This window comes from Homo sapiens, chromosome 8 (genome assembly GCF_000001405.40).
Source record: "Homo sapiens chromosome 8, GRCh38.p14 Primary Assembly".
Taxonomy (NCBI): Eukaryota; Metazoa; Chordata; class Mammalia; order Primates; family Hominidae; genus Homo; species Homo sapiens.
Genome location: NC_000008.11, coordinates 74,994,890 through 75,013,702, shown reverse-complemented (window position 1 = coordinate 75,013,702; position 18,813 = coordinate 74,994,890). Strand labels below are relative to the sequence as shown.

The window sequence follows — 18,813 nt, the reverse complement described above, 5'->3', positions numbered from 1 at the left end:
ATGTCATATTAACATTTCTATGAAGAAACTTTTCTGACAAAGGAACAGAAAATCACATCCTAAACAGCAAATACTGGAGCAAAAATTTACATGTTCAGATTTCTTATACAACATGATCTTTTCATCATGCCACTGGTTATCAGGTAGTTTGATGCTGGTCAATCTTATCACATGCAAAAGCATACAGAACAATCAATCTGCTTTATATTCACTGATAATAAGTCTGATCAGCAGTGAGCTTTATCAATCTGCCTTTAGTTGTTTGATTTGGAAGTTTAGAACATACCAATTGTGAACACGAAATATAAATATATATATATATGTTGCACATGTAAATATTGAATGTCATTGGTAAATAAAACTATATTTTTATTCCTTGAGATAAAACTTTGACATTGAAGATGGTAAATTTCCCCCCATATTACTGGGGCTATATTAAAAATGTTTGATATGCAAAATCACTGAAATAATGTCTTTTTAAGTAGATGTTTGGACTTTTTTGTGTGATAATTATTTTCATTGTTTATAGAACTTTGTAAGCCAATTCAACATAATCAATATCCATATAAATTTTTTTAATAACCATATTAAATAAGAAAGACAAGTTCACTAGCCTAATTTCTTTCATAGTTACATTAACTCAATTTGGGGGAATTAAGTATAATACCCCCCAAACATACCTGTGTATAATGTGTACATACAGGGCCAGAACACCTGAATGGACAATATGGGTTGCATTCATGTTCATATGGGTAGCTAAAGTCTTTCACTTCATCATACCACGATTGTACATGAAACGTCGGGGGCCTATATCTATTAGAAAGAAAATAGTCACAGAGGGCAAGCAAAGTTGGAGAAAATACAAAACTAAATATTGCAAAATACATTGGTATAATTTGGTAGAAAGACACTTTGGCGTAAACTATTAAACTTAAATTTTTATGCCCCTTACATTACTAATAAATTGATGATTTACATTAAAGTCTAAAAAACTGCTGATTGTTCTGGTGTGGCATTTATTTTTTGTTACTTGTTTCGTGATTACTTTTCTTTCAGGCACCAAGTCTTTGAAAAATTGTACTGATGAATTAATAAGGACTTCATTTTAAACACTTATTTTTTCATAAAGAAAAAGTTGTGCTTTAAGATACCTTCCCCAGTGTGCTCCCAAATTCTGTCCAATTGATGGAAGCAAGCTTGCAGGTCCATGTTCCCACAAGCAACTTTCAGCCCAGGATTCTGCAGATCTTTCCAGCTCTACATCCCATGTCTACAGTTTAAAACAAAAGCAAAATGTGCACATGTAGCATTTGGACACTTCTGCAGAACACAGTGTTGAGCAGTTCTTACATTTTCTTCTTTCTTTCTTTACAAAGTCAACATCATAGTCTGGATTCTCATCAGACTCAAAAGTCATCTAAGTTTTTGCACTGGCCTCCAAATCAATCTCCCCGTCTCTACCTCTTAACCCTCCAAATTGCCCCATACGTCTTTACAATTACTTAAGTGAACACGAATATGCTGAAGTGATTCCTCTGTCTAAACACATAAAACAAATCCCCATATACATAAAGTCCAAGGTCCGGGGTCCCACTCTTCCCTATCATTAAGCATACAAGTCCTTGCTCTTGCTGACATTGTTTCCCCTCCCTAAGCAACCTTCTCCCAGTTATTTGTCAGACAAGTCCCTACTCTTTCTTCCTTCACAATCCAGCTTTATAAAATACTTTTTCTGTGACATCGTATCAATTCTCTTAGATGTAAGCTATCCCTTTAGGACTCCTAAGGCTTTGTTACATTCCTTTGTTTAGCACTTATTACATTGTAATATCAGTATCTGCTTACATATCTATCTTTTTCATGAGACTGTAAATTGAATGGGACAGTGCTGCTGCTATCTTTGGTCTATTTCTAGTGTCTATCATCTGGACAAGGTGATTAATAAATGCTTGTTAAATACATGAATGATTAACAAATCTGATTCTCATAAAATATATGTAGACATAAAATTAAAATTAAATAATGACAAATTCTTTTAAAATAATTTAAAAAGAAATAATTTAAATCACCGATTAAGTTATTTTAGTGAAATGATTACTGAAATAATTTTCCAAGTCCTGGGTTTAGTATTCAACTTATTAATTTGAAAAATATGCAGTATAGTATGTGTGCTGGTAAAAACACCAAGTTAGGTAGACCTAGGTTCAATCTTAGCACTACAATTACAGACTCCGGGCATGTTACGAAAACGGGAAAACAAATCTGGGAATGGAACCTGAGGACACAACCCAAGTGACAGTGATGAAGCTGAAAAGAGTAGACAGTGAAATGATGTTTAGAAATTTAAAGATGGGAATTGAACAATGAGAACACATGGACACAGGAAGGGGAACATCACACTCTGGGGACTGTTGTGGGGTGGGGGGAGGGGGGAGGCATAGCATTAGGAGATATACCTAATGCTAAATGACGAGTTAATGGGTGCAGCACACCAGCATGGCACATGTATACATATGTAACTAACCTGCACATTGTGCACATGTACCCTAAAACTTAAAGTATAATAATAATAATAATAAAGATACAAAAAAAAAGAAATTTAAACTCCTAGAACTTGATAAATGGCTGGAGTAGGTGGTAAGCGAAAGAAAAGGTAAGACCGATGATACTACTAAATTGGAAGAAAGGAAATAGGGAAAGAGAAATAGATGGTTGTAATACAAGTGTGTGTCTAGGTATTTCCATGCATATTTCAATGGTGATGTATGAGGGCACATATGCCAAGTAGAGAGCAGAACTACATGACTGGGGGTCCAGAGGAAAAATGTGCTCTGAGGATATGAATCTTGAAGTTATTCACCCAGAGATAAATTTATTCGGGAATATTATATAGAATGAGAAGACGAATAAAAAAGAAAATTCTGGGGTTATCAAAATCTAAAAGGAAAAAACTCTAACAAGATAACAAAAGAAGCCAGGCAAGACAGGATAAAAGAGGTTACAGAAAAACTAATTAATATGAAATTATAAAGCAATGAGAGAGAGAAGATATTTTTGGGAGTAGAGAATGGGTAACAAGTGTGAATGACAGAAAACCAAGATTTCCTAAGTACTAATTCATGACTAAAAGCAACTTCAGATCAATGATGGGTGAAGAAATCAGAACACAGAGCATTAATAAGTGAAGAGAAAGAAAGAAGTACAGAAAACAAATGTGAGTTACTTTCTCAATACTTTAGAGAGGAAGAGAAATGTGGCAGAAGCTATAGATGAGATGCCAGAGTCTAGAGAGAATTTGTTCACTTGCTTTGATTTTTAAAGGATACAGGGAATCTAATCATGTCAATACGCCAAAAGGAAAACACCCTAGGGACAAAGAGGCATGTAAAAAGAAATGTATGTTTGAGGAGAAGAAGATTCCTAATTCATTCATATAATTTTTCATTGGTGAATATTCCTCCCCATTCCATTGTGGCTCTGAAATATGGATCAAATCACAAAGGGAAATTTATACAAAATTAGAATAAGTTTATTATCATCATTAGTGTATCTTAATTTTCTAGCAAAAATACAAAAATAGTGTATATGCGACTAAAAATACAAGAGCAGCAAGAGTTGCTGCTTTTCATAAAAGTTTTAATTTTACTTTCAATTAGTGTCAAATATTCAAGATGAATGGTTTTAAGACATGGACATCAGAAACAAATGCTATAAACAAGTATTATCAGGTAAGCACTTTATTTGCCAATTACAGGCATATTATTAATTAACTTTACCATTTAACTTTGACCTAATTTTATAATTATATATAATGTTTATTATACAAAAGTATAATTCAAGTTGTGGTCACTATTTGTCCAAAGAAGAATTAAGTAAGAAACACTGAATTTGGTTGAAGTCCCAGAAAATGGGCAAAATGTTGATTTCCTTTTGTATCTAGAAAGTTGGAGAAGTAATCGTCTCTCAAAAGTAAGCAGGTTTCCAGATGGAGTCCCTAAAGACATAGGTTGTCCTTAGGGGACAAATCATTGTCTGCAATCCAGGAAATCAGATTCTTGCAGAGTACTCTAGTTATACATAGGACATAACTACACTTATCTGTAGGTTTTTTTTTTTTAATATATCAATCTCATATTCAAAGAGCAGCCAGAAAACAGAGGAAAAATAGAAACAGTTCCTGGAAGTCTAAAAATAATTGCTTTGAAACAATTGTGATGGTTTTAAAATACCCTTTCCACCAAAGGTGGAGTTGAATTCCCCCCTCTTCCCTTGAATTTGAGCTAAATAGTGACTCACTTCTAATAAACAGAAAGAGGCTGGGAGACTTCGGTAGCTAGGTTAGGAAACAAAGCTTCTTTTTTTTTTCTTTTTTTTTCCTGTTAAGACACATCGTGACAGACTTAAGCCAATGAATTAGGAGTCCAGTTACCATGAATAGGTAGCTGGAAAGAAAATATGGAGAGAACTCCAGAGATGTGAGTTCTTCCAGCCGAGGCATGTGACCTGTGAGTTTGCCAGCCCTCAGATGACAGCAACTCAAGTCAGGGCAATCATGAGACACCTCAAGTGAGGACTATCCAGCTGAGCTCTTAGAAGAATCCTCATGGCCTCTACTCAAGTTCAATTTACTCTTGTTTCACACACGATTCTACAATCTTAGGTGTCAGTTTTCCCTATGAAATTGAAAATGGATCCTTTTTAGAAAAGATATACAACTAGTTCCTAACTAGTTTAATATACTACAGTGTATTTAAGTGTTTCAAGTTTGCTTATATTTCTGTTGTATAGAAATCGGAATAAAACGTAAAACATATTATTCAAATACTTTAAGCTAATTTTTCTTATTTGTAAATTTGTTAGCTGAAATAGAAGGTAACTCCGATCACTTTGAGGACTAAAATTCAATGTTGAATATATACAATGCATAAGCTGTATTTAAGGTATGACTTATGATTTTATTTAATCCATTAAAAATACTGGGAAAAGCATACTGAATAAACTATAATATTGCTAAAATAATAGCATACAGTATTTTAATATAAGTGCTGAAGCAGAGGGGCATGCAACTAAAATTTAGTTCTTTATCAATATTAATATTAGTGACTAAAAGTAATTATCTATTCACAGAATCGAATAAAGCATACCTGTTTAGGTCAAGTTCAATAATACAAATCAAGTCTTAAAAACTTATTGGAAGAAATTCTATCATGACTTAACAATAAGCATGGTACATATTTGTTAAAGCTACAACATATTATTTCACGTTTTAAAACTGCCAGTAAGTTCTACCCACCCCATTAAGTGTAGGTTAGTGCCTACACATTTCTATTTAAAATCAGGTTTACAAATTAAATCAAGATGGCCCAAAGAGCTTCTTTTTTAATTCCTCTGAACTATTCACCCAGCACTAATTTAAAGACAAACCACACTACAATTGCCACTTCTCTATAAAATGAGTACTTGGGTACCCATTTCTATACACTTGAGGTGTGCAAAAATGAAAACAACTCTATTTCCCAACTACATCTGAAAGTTGTTCCTTCTTAGAGCATAGTTACGCCTTCAATGAAGTTTTATTACTTAAGGAAATATTTAGAATACTATTGACATTCTTTGTCTCCAATGATATTTTTAAACTAGTTCAGCATGAAGGCTTTCTCATCTCAAGTGTGTGTATGAGAAATTTTAAACTTTTTGACAGATAACTTTCAAAATTAAACCAGGCCAAGTATAGTGGCTCATGCCCATATTCCCAGCACTTTGCGGGAGGCGAGGGTGGTAGGATCACTTGAGGCCAGGAGTTCCAGACCAGCCTGGGCAATATGTGGAGACCTGTCTTTACAAAAAGTAAAAAATGAAAAATTTAGCTGGTACGGTGTCACGTGCCTGTAGTCCCAACAAGCTGGGAGGCTAAGTTGTAAGGATCAAGGGAGTTTGAGGCTGCAGTGAGCTATGAGAGCTATGATCATACTACTGCACTCTAGCCTGGGCCACAATGTAAGAACTTGTCTCTTTAAAAAAAAAAAAAAAAAAAAAAAAGTCGATGGTTCACGTCTGTAATCCCAAGATCGCGCCACTGCACTCCAGCCTGGGTGACAGAGCGGGACTCAGTCTCAAAAAAACAAACAAACAAACAATAACTGAAAACTGGTAAACCTACAAATACATAGTAACTTTAGTACTAAAATATCATAGAAATGAGAAATTATGCAGCTATCTAGATACATAAAAATTTGCTATCCTTTGTGAAACATGAGTTGAGCTCCCACTGGAACACCTGCTATGGTGCTCGAATAAGAGTCAATGACAGCTGGAAATCATTCAAGAATGTAATTTAGGCCAGCAGTATTGCTTACCAGTAGGTTGCATCACTGTATATTATGCAAAAACAGTAATTAGTGATACAACTTTTTCATTCTCTTTGACACAGTTTTTTTCTCTTAAAAAGATTTAAGGATTTTCAAATATATCTTCTTGACCATAGTAAATTAATACTCTTTCCAGATTTACATAATATGAAAATTCATTTCCTGGGGCTTGTTTACTCTTTATAACTTCAAAATTATTATAGTACTACATTAAACAAGAGTTGAAGACCAATAATTAATAACTAAGAATTTGTCTGAAGAGAGTATTTTCTGATAATTGAGGTTTCAAGAATGTTAATGAAAAACTAAAATGGAAGGTGTTATTTTTCAAATAAATATCAAACATTAATTTCACAAAGAAGATCTAATGTTAAATGTTTTGCATTAATTAGCATTGTTTTGGATTACATTAAAGGATATAAAGTTTTATGAGATTATATGCTTGATGCAAATTTGTGTAATCAGACTTTCACATATAAATTACCCCCAAAGATTAGTGGGGTGGAGGTGATGGGCCTTCATTTATCCACAAAGTTGTTTGGTAAGTTGTAATTAGTCTACCACAGAGACCAGGATGACACTGAATTTGTTAAGTAGTTTTACAGAATTCTTTAGATTCCTCAATAAATAAAATAAATTAGTAAATAATGAAATTTTAATAAAAAGTTGACCAGCATGGATAGCTTAACACCCTAACCGCTACACAGAAATAATTATTGACTAGAAACTCTTACATAACTTCATAATTGTTAAATGCTAGTCCCTATATAAAGAAATAGGATTGCAAGATTTTTGGCTACTGTAGAAACTTTCACCAAACTGGATGAAGCTACAATGAGACTTTTAAAGACATGCTGAGAAAAATGTCTTAAATAGATAACATAAACCTTTCTCAAAAAAACTGGAAAATAGCAACAATTGTAATTAATCATCTAAAAATTTTACATAGTATAGATAATATAGAAATGATTGAATTTGTTGTACAACTTTTTGCAAAACTGATGTAGCCTTAATGGACTTCCAAGATAAATGCCAAAAAGAATTCCTAATTGGATTATTATACCGTTAAGTAGCCTAATTAGATGACAAATACTGGCCCATGATATAATTCACAATATGGACTTTTAAAATTGCATTAGCTCAGACACAAAAAGTCAAATACTGCATGCTCTCACTTATAAGTGGGGGTTAAACAGTGGGCACATGCATGGACATACAGAGGAAAATAATAGGCACTGGGGACTCCAAAAGGGAGGAATATGGGAAGGATAAGGAATGAAAAATCACCTACTGGTAATTGGGTACAATGTTCACTATTTGGATGATGGGCACACTAGAAGCCCAAGATATCTATTATACAAGATATCCATGTAACAAACCTGCACCTGTACCCCCTGAATCTACAAAGCAAAATAAAGTATGCATTTCTCTCTGGCAAAGTAATAATCTAATGGAAATATGGTGGCATTGCAAAGGCAGTTATGCTGGAAGTCCGGATCTAGGCTGGAGGCTCTAAAGTCTTACCTTTCCACTAGTGAAAGCTGAAAATAATGATAAAATTATTTTTAAAACTGTCTTAGCATTTGCAATAAGTTTTGAACAATAAATTCCCCAAACATCCTTCTTTAGAGACACATAAATGTGCATGCTTAACTCAGAAAAGCACTCCAATATCTCTAATCCTACCTATCCCAGTTCTGAGCAGTCAAGGGCTGACAGAAGTAATGATAGAATTATGCTCAATGGTGCTGAAAATACCCCTTCTTTAGTGCTGTGTGTTCTGGACCTATATAAGTCAAGGGCATTCGTGATCAATTTTCTTCTTCTTTTATTATACAGACAGATACAAAAGTATGCATTGTTCAAATGACTCAAACCATAAAATACATGAAACACCCTGGAAGAGTTCTCTTTCCCATTTAAATTATTTCCAAATTTATATCTTTGATTATATCAAGTTTGGTTTCTATTTCCTTATCTCTAACATTACGGAGCTGAAATAAGTCTTTCCGAATTCTTTTGTACTTAAATCGAAAAGACTTAGCTTTCCAATTCCATTGTTTGTACTTCACAGTCTCTTAGATGATACCCTGTATTGCTTGTAGTATCCCATAAGAATTAGCTGTAAAATAACATTTCTGGTGACAAATAAAGGCATCTGATGACAATTAAAATGACAATGAAGAGCATCTCAATTACCTAAGAAGCAAAAGCTGTTCTCAAACTGCTGTTTGAGAAGCCGTTTTGTGATAACCAAGGAGATTTCAGATTTTCTAATTATAAGCCCATGAGAGCAGAGCTCAATTTCTTCGAAGTATTTTTGATATTGTTAATAACAGATAAATACAACATAGAACCTTCAATAAAACTTTCCATTTAGTTGAGTAAGAAGATAATCTTAATAAAAAGTTAAAAACAGGCCTCTCTTCAGTTTAGTCCTGAAAATATGATGGTAAAACATTTAAATAAAGCACAGACTTCTAAATATAATTTTTTGCACAGCTATCAGGAACACCGGAATTTTTCAAGCTCATGAATGCAGAAGTGATTTGAGAAAATCAAAGACATACAGAATTATCTTTTTAAAAATACTGCTTTAAAATATAATTCTTACTATGCTACCACTTCTGAAATAAAACAGGTTTGTAAATCATCCATCTTATTTCGATCCCTCCCCAAATCTTTTGTGTTTTCCTATTTAAATCAGAAACTACAATCCAAGAATCTGATAAAGTTGTCAACGTGATCCTAACTACAGCAATAACCTAACTTCCAAGATACCCCAATAGTTTGTTAGTCTATGAAAATATCACACTGGACAGTTCAGAATACATCAGATTCAAATTTCAAATATAATGACTCATTATAAAATCTGTAAAGCTATGTAATTTTCTCCCAGACGTCAATGAAATAAATAAGTAAATAAATCTGTGCTGAAAGAGTGTGAGATGCTTTTGTGACTAAATCATCTGGTATTAAATGCACTATGGCAAGCAGCTGTATTGCATTCCTTACAATTCAATTACTCCAGGTATTTTAAGTGTTGTGCTTCACCCATTCTGAATAGACTTTGTAGTTATAGGGAAAATGCACGAGGCTCAGATTTCAAAGGAAACACTTGTGTTACAGGGCACAGTGACTTTGCCAACTACTGAGAAAGAAGCATTACCTTAAGGCAATGCACAAATTAGGGTCTCCTGCAAATTCAGAGATGTGAGGCATGTGTGGTAGTGTTTCACTTAAAATCTAAAACAAAGGCTTAAAACCTTAAAAAAGTAGCAAGCTAACAGTTTAGGAAACTCCTCTACATTTTATTAAAATTAAAATAACTTTTGTAATGAAAACTTAATATGCAGATATACTCACAAGATTATTTCAATTAAACCCATTGTATCAATATATAAATATATCACATTTAATATTACATCAGATGCATGACATAGGGCTTATTGTCTTTGTGGGATAGCAAAGCCATTAATTTTCTATAGAATTACAATCCTTACATTTTCTATAGAATTTCTACTGATTAAGCTCATCTCATCTCAGTGTCAAGGTCCCCTGCCCCAAGTTTGGCCATACCTTACCTAACTCACTTATCAAGAAAATCTTTAGTAATTGCAAATGTATCATATAATTGATGGTACTTTAAGTCTTGATCTATACATATTCTTTACTTCTTGATCTTTAAGTCTTGATCTATAGACATTAGGCCATTTTGTAAGAATAAACATCTGTGTTTAGTTTATTCACAACCCAGTATATTTTATATAGATGCAGGATTGATCTAAAAGTCTATAAAAATGCATGATAGGAAAACTCATTAAAAAATCCCTCTACAGTATGTACTTATGAATTAGTTTATGTTTTATATTCACATATCAAAATAACCATAACTTAGGTTTTGAAAGTAAATAAAAAATAATTGCTTTTGTGTATTTATGTGGGGACACCAAATTTTCAAAATGAAATAAAAAAAGATCTAAAAAGTGAAAAACTTCTTGGACAAAAGAAGAAAGTTTATGGACACAATGAAACTGAAATCTACAATTTGACATCCAAACTTGAATTTAAACCAAAGATGACTAATATAAGAAACATTCAAATGTATATTTACATACTTTTAATGAAACTGCTATGTTACGTTGCTCAGTGTCTCTATATTGCTATATTAACAATTCTGTGATAAGTTTCCACTAATAATTCCTGCCTCAAGAATGATAAATTGCTGTGCCTGCAAACAGGCAGTGAGAGCTACAAACAACATACGGTTTCCTGTTTTCCTTGAATGCCATGAAGCTCAAAGCTGGTTTAAGAACCACAGCATTCTCAATCAGATTTTTAGACATTCCTCAGGAATATGACTATAGCATTATTTTCCTCAATATTAAAACAATGACTAAAAGGATGATTTTTTAAAGAATGGTTTTCAAAAGTCCTTATTTAGAACTCTGAGAAAGAAGATGGTGTTAAATATTCATTTACCCCACACAGCCATCTCAGCACCTTCCTGCCAAGTTCTATGTCTCACGAGATAGCTCCACATACTGAGTTACCTCAGGCTCTCCTGCCCCCTGGCTCCTGGTTAGATTTGGCCAAGGAAACACACAAACAGGAATTCCGAGGGTGGGAGGTGAATTTCAGAACGTGTTGCCCCTCTGAGTCCTCTTGGCCTCACCGTGATGGAGACTGGGTCCTCTCACACAACCCTGCTTCCAGGCACCTGTCTTCACCAGCCTGTGTCAGGACCACAAAAGCCTGGGCACCCTGCCACACCCCATGGCTTGCCTTAATCCTGCCCACAACTCTGCATATAGGCCCTTCATCATTATTATTATTTTTTTTTTTACTGTTGAACCCTAGTTATTGTGGCATTTGTTTCCTGCTGAGAAACAAATATTTGAAAATATAAATCTTTCACAGAATTTTGATTAGCAAACTGCCTAACAACCTGTTACCTGACACATACTAGATCTTAATGAATTTTCTCTTCTTCCCCTGTTCCTATAAGAATCTGCTTGATTTGCTGTAATTAATGTATCCTGTCTCTTCACATTGGGAACATTGCTGGTATTTATATGGGTAAGAGAGAAATTAAAATTCAAAATTTTGAATGACTGAAAAATAAGATAATCACTGCTATCTAAAGTTCCAATGAGAGAGTAAATAATCTTATAATTCATATTTAAGACAACATGAATTACAAAACAAAGGTTGGAGTATGTTACTCCTAGCTTTGCTGTAAATTCTTACACAATTAACTAATTTAAGACCTTTGTTAAAAACAAATCTGAGATTCATTTCCAACTGAAGCCTCCAAGTACCCCTGAAGTTCAGGTTTCACTAACATACATATATATGTAAAACATTTTTTAGGTCAAGAAAGGTCAAGAAACTCAAAGTTTGGAAATAATTTGTAATAAATGTTTCGCTTTAAAAAGTTAGACTAATACGGTCATATTACCTCAAATAAAACGTTTCATCATAAGTAAGCAGATAAGAAAATGGAATAGTGCTATGATGCTCAAGTCTGCCATGATTCACACTTGACAGAACAAGGTTGTTTCCACCATTTGGGAAAATCTGACCAAGCCTAAATATCTCCATAATTGAGGCTTAAATCAATTCACACAGATTGTGACTGCCATTTCCTCCCCATTGAATCAGCTGGACACATATTGTCACAACAATCCCTTACTGATAAGGGTCTCACCATATTCCCTTCCACACAATGACGGTAACTTCTACCAAATACTATTTCAAAACATACCTCTTTTAAGAAGCTTTACTGTTCACTGCTTTACTCTGAAATTCTTCATGATTTATATGCAGTTTAAAATATACTACTTTGTACTTCTTACCATACTGTGACTTACATCTTGAAAACAGTTCATCAAGAGTCTTGGCATTCTGATCACTGTATCTCCTGGAAGATCCTATCCTGAACTTCAGAGGGGTTCTGGCCACCCCCAAATCATGAGACAGAGATGTCAGTAACCCAGTGCAACTCAGAAAGTCACTGAAATCCAGTGATAATTTAGCCACCTGTCATGTTTATTAAAGAATGAGTTTGCACTAACCCAAAATGAATGTTTGCCCTAAGCCAAAAGGTATTCTACTATTTAAAAACACAAAATTTTGTTTTATATAAAATTGTGTTTTATGTAAAATTGTTTTGCATAAAATAATTTATGTTTAAAATACACAAAATTGTTTTACATGACTTTATATTTTTATTATGTTTTACATAATTTTATATTTTTCAATAGAGTACTTCAGGATATGTAAAATATTTTACATATCACATCAAACTTGCAATGATATGTAATTATGTAAAATATTTTAGTGAAAAGCTTTCACTAAAAAGAATGTTTTTGCAATTTTCTAATAAAACTATTTTGTCAAGACAGAATTCAATCCTTTTTATTCTGTCCACTTTAAATTGTTGTTGAAAATCTAGTCATCTTTTCATTTTTTTTCATTCATCCCATTTTGTTTTCCTTCCAGCTAACATAAACTGAGCTTAGGGCATGTGTCAGCCACACAACTGGGGAATGCAAAGATTACCATGGCACAGTCCCTTCCTACAAAGGAATGTGAGGCTAGAGAAAGAGACAAGGATGTAAACACTGCAAGCAGAGGCATGTAAATGAGGCTATGGAAGTCAGAGAACTGAGTCTGGGGGCACCTAACTCTGTATGGAGGGTTTAGACAAAAGCAGGTTAGGCTCTAAGTGAGTCTTAAAGGAAGCAGAAAGGAGAAATTCATTACAAAGAAAACAGGGAGGGCAATAGGCATTCTCACATCTGCAAAGGGCAGCAGGCTTGGCAAGATTTGTTCAGCATCAAAAATCTCAAGGCATACGGAATAACATGGTAGATGTTCATGTGAGATAGCACTGCTTTGTATTTGTTCAGGTTGTACTCACTTATTCACAGTACTCTTGATTTAGCAGACCTCTTGGCCTTTTCTTTCCACACAGGAGTTTCCATGTTCTTATTCCATCTTCCTTCAAGAGCTGCCCCTCTCTCAACACTTTTATCATTTGATTTTCCTTCTCTGGACAACATCTGATCTCATTCATTCACTATTTCAGATACAGATTTGACACGTCTTGACCAAGCATAAGATATAGTTTCATGTTTTATTACCAGCAGCACCTTTACTGGATTGTCCAGCGTTCTGGTGGTTACTTTGTATTGTTTGAGTTGCTATGACATACAGGGGACATTCCAGAAACAGTAACTCCCATGTTCACTCCTGGTCTTGCCTAATAGCTCATTATCCTTGTATCTAGTTGCTGCCTTCCAACCCCTCATACTTACTCAACTGAAATTCTACTTCCTCCCTTCTTACTCATATGGCCTTTAAGGTTTATTCTGTCGGTGGCTGTATTTCACTTTCACTATCCAGCAGAATTTTGTCATTAACTAATTTTGAGATTCATTTCCCATTTCTCTTCCAATTAGATTGACTTCAACATTTGGCCTTAGAGGAGAGAAAATTATTGTTCAAACTTCTCCAACATTGTGTATTATAAGTACTTTGTAAAAAAAAAAAAAGAAAAGAAAAAGAAATTTCATTTTCCTGCCTTAATAGTTACAGTTACTACCTTATAAAAAGGGAGGCGAATGTGATAGTTGAGGAGGGAGAAAATAAAGAACCTGTATTTTACAATTATTCATGTCCCAATTCAAACCCCACTTCCTCCAGGAAGGCTAAAGCCTTCTACTTAAAATGAGGTTGCTAGAACAGCGGCCACCACATCACCTGGGGTCTTGTTAGAAATGCAGAATATTGGGGTTCCCAAAACTACTGAATCAAAATATGTATTTTAACAAGATTCCCAGGGGATTCATAGGCACATTAAAGTTTGAGTAGTATTAGACTAAAGCACACCTTATTTCTACCCTCCAAAATCATACCTACTTGCTTTGCCATGACAAAAATATGCTTTCTATCTTTAATATCCTGCTAATTTCAAAATACTTTTTGGCTTAAAACTTAAAATATAAAGCATGCATGGCTTACTAAATAGACTGTGTCCTTGTTCAAATGTTTGCCTTGAGGTTTATGAGCTGCCAATATAGAAAATCTGCTGTCTTTTATGTATGTATGTATAAGTAGTTGACTTAATCACACCTTATTGATTCTGTTAACAAGTCAAAAGAAGAAAAAAGTAACCTTTGCCAGATCAGTTTCAGGTTCTTATTTTTAGCCAGTTTAATAACCCAGTAATCCAAGTTACATATTTGGGTCAACAGTTAAATAATTTTCATTATTTAGATTCCTGTACAACCATCTGTACTTAGCATTCAATCTGCAATATGAGCCCCAAACATGCTATTTGGTATGTATCTGTACTTGATCCATATTATCTAACATCTGAATACTTAAAAAGTTAATCCGTTACTAACATGTCTTTGATTATCTCGTTCTAGTCTCCAGATGTTGCCTAGTCAAATGTCTCCAAAGGGCAAGCAGGAGACACCATGTAAAGTGGCTGGACAGAGTGGTGTGACCAATGGCAAATCAGAGAAGAAACCACTACTTTAAATCTCTGATTCCTGGCAATACCTTGAAATAATATAGTAAACTTCTTCACTGCTATTAAACCTTTGAACTTTACTTTTTTTTTTTTTTTTTTTTTTTGAGATGGAGTCTCTCTGTTGCCCAGGCAGGAGTGCAGTGGCACGATCTTGGCTCACTAAAACCTCCGTCTCCCAGGTTCAAGCAATTCTCCTGCCTCAGCCTTCCCAGTAGCTGAGACTACAGGCATGCACCACCATACTTGGCTAATTTTTCTATTTTTAATAGAGACGGCATTTCACCATGTTGAAGGACTGGTCTCGAACTCCTGACCTCAGGTGATCCACCTGCCTCAGCAACCAAGGGCTGATATTACCGGCCGTGGTATGAGCCACGGCGCTGGACTAAACCTAAGAACTTCAAAGCATGGTAAAACAGGTTAATTTAAAGCACTTAAAAACTTCCCATACATTTGATTCCACAAATATCCTTAAGGCAATTTCTCCAAAACTACTATTTTTTCATAATGTCCTATCCTCAAACCCCCTTCTTTCCTGCCCTCTCAACTCAGCTGATGATCTTGACAGTTCACTGTGTCTGGACAAAAGAGAAGCTTTCACATAATTCCCTTCTGTTTTCTTCATTAAACGCTCCAAACTACCTGCTTCTATACGAACAACCTCAGCTTTTCCTGTTAGAATAAGTTATATTTTCTTCTCCTATGCCAAGTGCTTTCTCAACCTATTTATTCCCAGCAACCTGCAAACATGCTCTCTAAAAAACAAAAAAGCAAAAGCTTTCCCTTATGTCCCTCTAGCTTTATCCCATTTTTCTGATCTCTTCACAGCAACATCATCTTGAGATAGTTACTTCTCTACTTCCTCGCCTCCCATTCTCTTCTTATCTGCTTAACAAGACTTCTGAGCATTCCTCACCACTGAAATTACTCTCAGAAAGGTCATCAGTGACCTCAATATTGACAAAACCATTGTAGACTTTCCTTCTTCATCTCATTCTCAGCAATAGTGAAAAAGGTTAACTTTTTCCTGTTGAACTCTCCTCCTGGCTTCTGGGACACCAGCCTATCCTATCCTTTCCTCTTACCTTGCTGACCACTGGTTCTCAGCTAACTTCTTTCGGCTCAACCTCTATATAGCTGCATGCCCCGCGGCTCAGTCTAAGGCATTCAACCCTTGTCTATAAAAAACCTTCTTCTTGGGTGATCTTATTCAGTCAGTTCAGAGAGTTCCTAATAGCTACATTATTTCCATATTTTTTACCTGTGTCCCACCACTCAACTGACCACTAAACATAACTAAGGATGACATGCATCTCAAACTTCAGCCAAAAAGAAATTACTGATTTCATCTTCACTTTCTCCTGTTTCTCCTCCTGTGTCAGCAAATGCTTCAACTATCCACCAAAGAGCTTTGTAAAAACCTAAGAACATCCCAGATTCCTCCTTATCCTTCACCCTTCACATTATTTTCAGCAAAACCCATCGGGAATCCCATCAGAACATACCGTGGAACCACTCACCTTCTCCATCTTTACCCCTATCACCCTGATCCAAGTAACCACCATCTCTCACACAGAATATAGCAATAGCCTCTTAACTCTCTGCATTCAGTCTTTCTCCTCCTTCAGATGATTCCCTATAAGGTAGACAGTAATTTTTTGAAACTGGAAATAAGAGCAAGTCAGTCCCTTGTGAGAAACTGTCCAGTGCTTTTCCATTTCATTCAAAATAAAACAAATTTTTATTCACTTAAAAGGCCAAAAAGGATTCTGGGGCCAGGCACAGTGGCTCTCGCCTATAATCCCTGCACTTCAGGAGGCCGAGGCAGGAGGATCACTTGAGCCCATGAGTTCAAGACCAGCCTCGGAAACACAGCAAGACCAATCTCTACAAAAAATTTAAAAATTAGCTGGGTGTGGTGGTATGTGCCTGTAGTCTCAGCTACTCAGGAGGCTGAGGTGGAGGATTGCTTGGGCCCAGAAATTTGATGCTGCAGTGAGCCATCATTGCGCCACTGCACTACAGCCTGGGTGACAGAGCAAGATCCTATCTCAAAAAAAAAAAAAAAAAAAAAAAAAAAGATTCTGGCTCATGCTGGTATGTCTACCTTATTTTCTAATACTTACCCTGTTATGGAATAAAATTCAGTCCCACAGTCCTTCTTTGTTAAATTCCAACCTTATTCCTGACTTAAAGACTTTGTGCCTAGTATTTCTCCTGCCTAGAATGATGGGTCTCTGTATCTTTCCTTAGCTGACTCCTTGTAATTCACCAATTCAGAAAAGCCTTCTCCAACTACCCAATATGATTAGCTCCACCTCCCTCATTCTCTATCACCTCACTCTACTTATTTTCATTAACTTTTCAAACTTTTTATACACTAATGCATTCCTCAGCATTAAGAACAGTGTGTCACATAAGTGCTCAATCAATATTTGTTGATTTAAATGCCTTTTTAAACATAAATTTATCAATAATAACAAATCACTTTAATCAATTATAAAAGCCTTACAAGCAGCTTTTAAAAATTATGAAGGCAACAAATATTTAGGAAAGTAAGAACATGGTTAGACATAAATACTGTAATATCTTCACCAGATAATTCATTACCACTTGAATTTTCACATTTTTCTGTAAACTAAATATCACACATATACATGTATTACATATGCATATATGTATAAACATCCATGATGTATGTGCATGTATATATATATAAAACACATGCGTATTTATATATATATATATATATATAAAGCAATGACCCATTGCCATTTTTATAAACACTTGGCTTCGAGTTAGTAAAAATCATTAAAAATATGAGAATTTAAGTTTTAAAGCATGTGCAATAATTTGGTGTATAAATTCCCGTAAGGAATATGTGAGAGAGCACAGCCTGAACAATAGCAAAGAGAGAATTTTCCTGAACTAAATGTAATTCTTAATCGGTATTATATGATTAATTAATATTTCCATTTTTAAATAAAGGCATCCATTTTAAATAGAGGCATAATTTGCAAAAAAATTATGCAAAGAAATTACATTTTCCTATTTATCATCATAAAAATTGAGATATGTTCCCTAATTGAATTATCTCTTCTAAAACTAAGTTGAAAACTTCAGGCTGGAAGAGAGTTAAGACTGTGTATTAGCTGGGCCTAGTGGCACATTGCTGTAGTCACAGCTACTCAGGAGGCTGAAGTAGAAGGATGGCTTGAGCCCTGGAGGTCAAGGCTGCAGTGTGCTGTGATCGTGCCACTGCACTCCATCCTAGGGGACAGAGACCCTGACTCAAAACAAAGGACTGTGGGAACTACCTGACCCACAGGAGATGTTGCATGTTTGATAAATAAGTAATGAATTAATTTTTCTGATCCCATTCTTGAACCAGTCTGGGACCACTATGACTTCACCCAGACTGTATTATCAGATTTCTGTAGCCTCTACATTGTCAAATATGTTATAAAATTGTCATATCTGCATTTTACTTGAGCTTTATAAGCAGCCTTTGACAGAGCTGATCACCCTTTCTGCTTTTCATTTGAATTCCAGGTCATCATGTTCTTCTAGTTTTCTTCCTAATTCTCAATTTTCTTTGTGTTTTTCCTTCTCACCTTCCCTGCCTTTACACTTTAAAGTGTGTCAATAACTCATGTCTTGAACATCTCTATCTATACTCATTCCCTTGATGATCTCATCTCTCCTCATGAGTTTAAATACCACTTAAATGGTGGTGGGTCCTAATTTCATGTTCAAGATTGGCCTCCATATATTAACTGCCTTGTATCTAATGGCATACCTGACACATTCATTTGGATATCTAAGCTAAATCTCAATTTTAATATGTCTCACACTGCGCCCCATCTTTCTCTACCTAAAGCTGGTCTATCCATATTCTTC

The 18,813-nt window shown here is 34.9% G+C and overlaps 1 protein-coding gene across 3 annotated transcripts in view; it reads right to left on the bottom strand.

Moving 5' to 3' along the window:
• Positions 1-18,813, bottom strand: part of CRISPLD1 (cysteine rich secretory protein LCCL domain containing 1) — a 50,054-nt gene that overhangs the window by 20,856 nt on the left and 10,385 nt on the right. For 2 of the 3 annotated variants that reach the window (NM_001286778.2, NM_001286777.2), the window contains exons 1-3: positions 13,294-13,548; positions 1,152-1,270; positions 681-813 (exon numbers count right to left, since the gene is read on the bottom strand). Coding sequence is in view for 2 of the 3 variants with exons in the window: in NM_001286777.2 (NP_001273706.1) it covers positions 681-748 (68 nt within the window). In the remaining variant the exon portion in view is untranslated. Of the gene's footprint in view, positions 1-680; positions 814-1,151; positions 1,271-13,293; positions 13,549-18,813 lie in introns of those variants that run through there. The other variant, NM_031461.6, reaches the window with a different exon arrangement.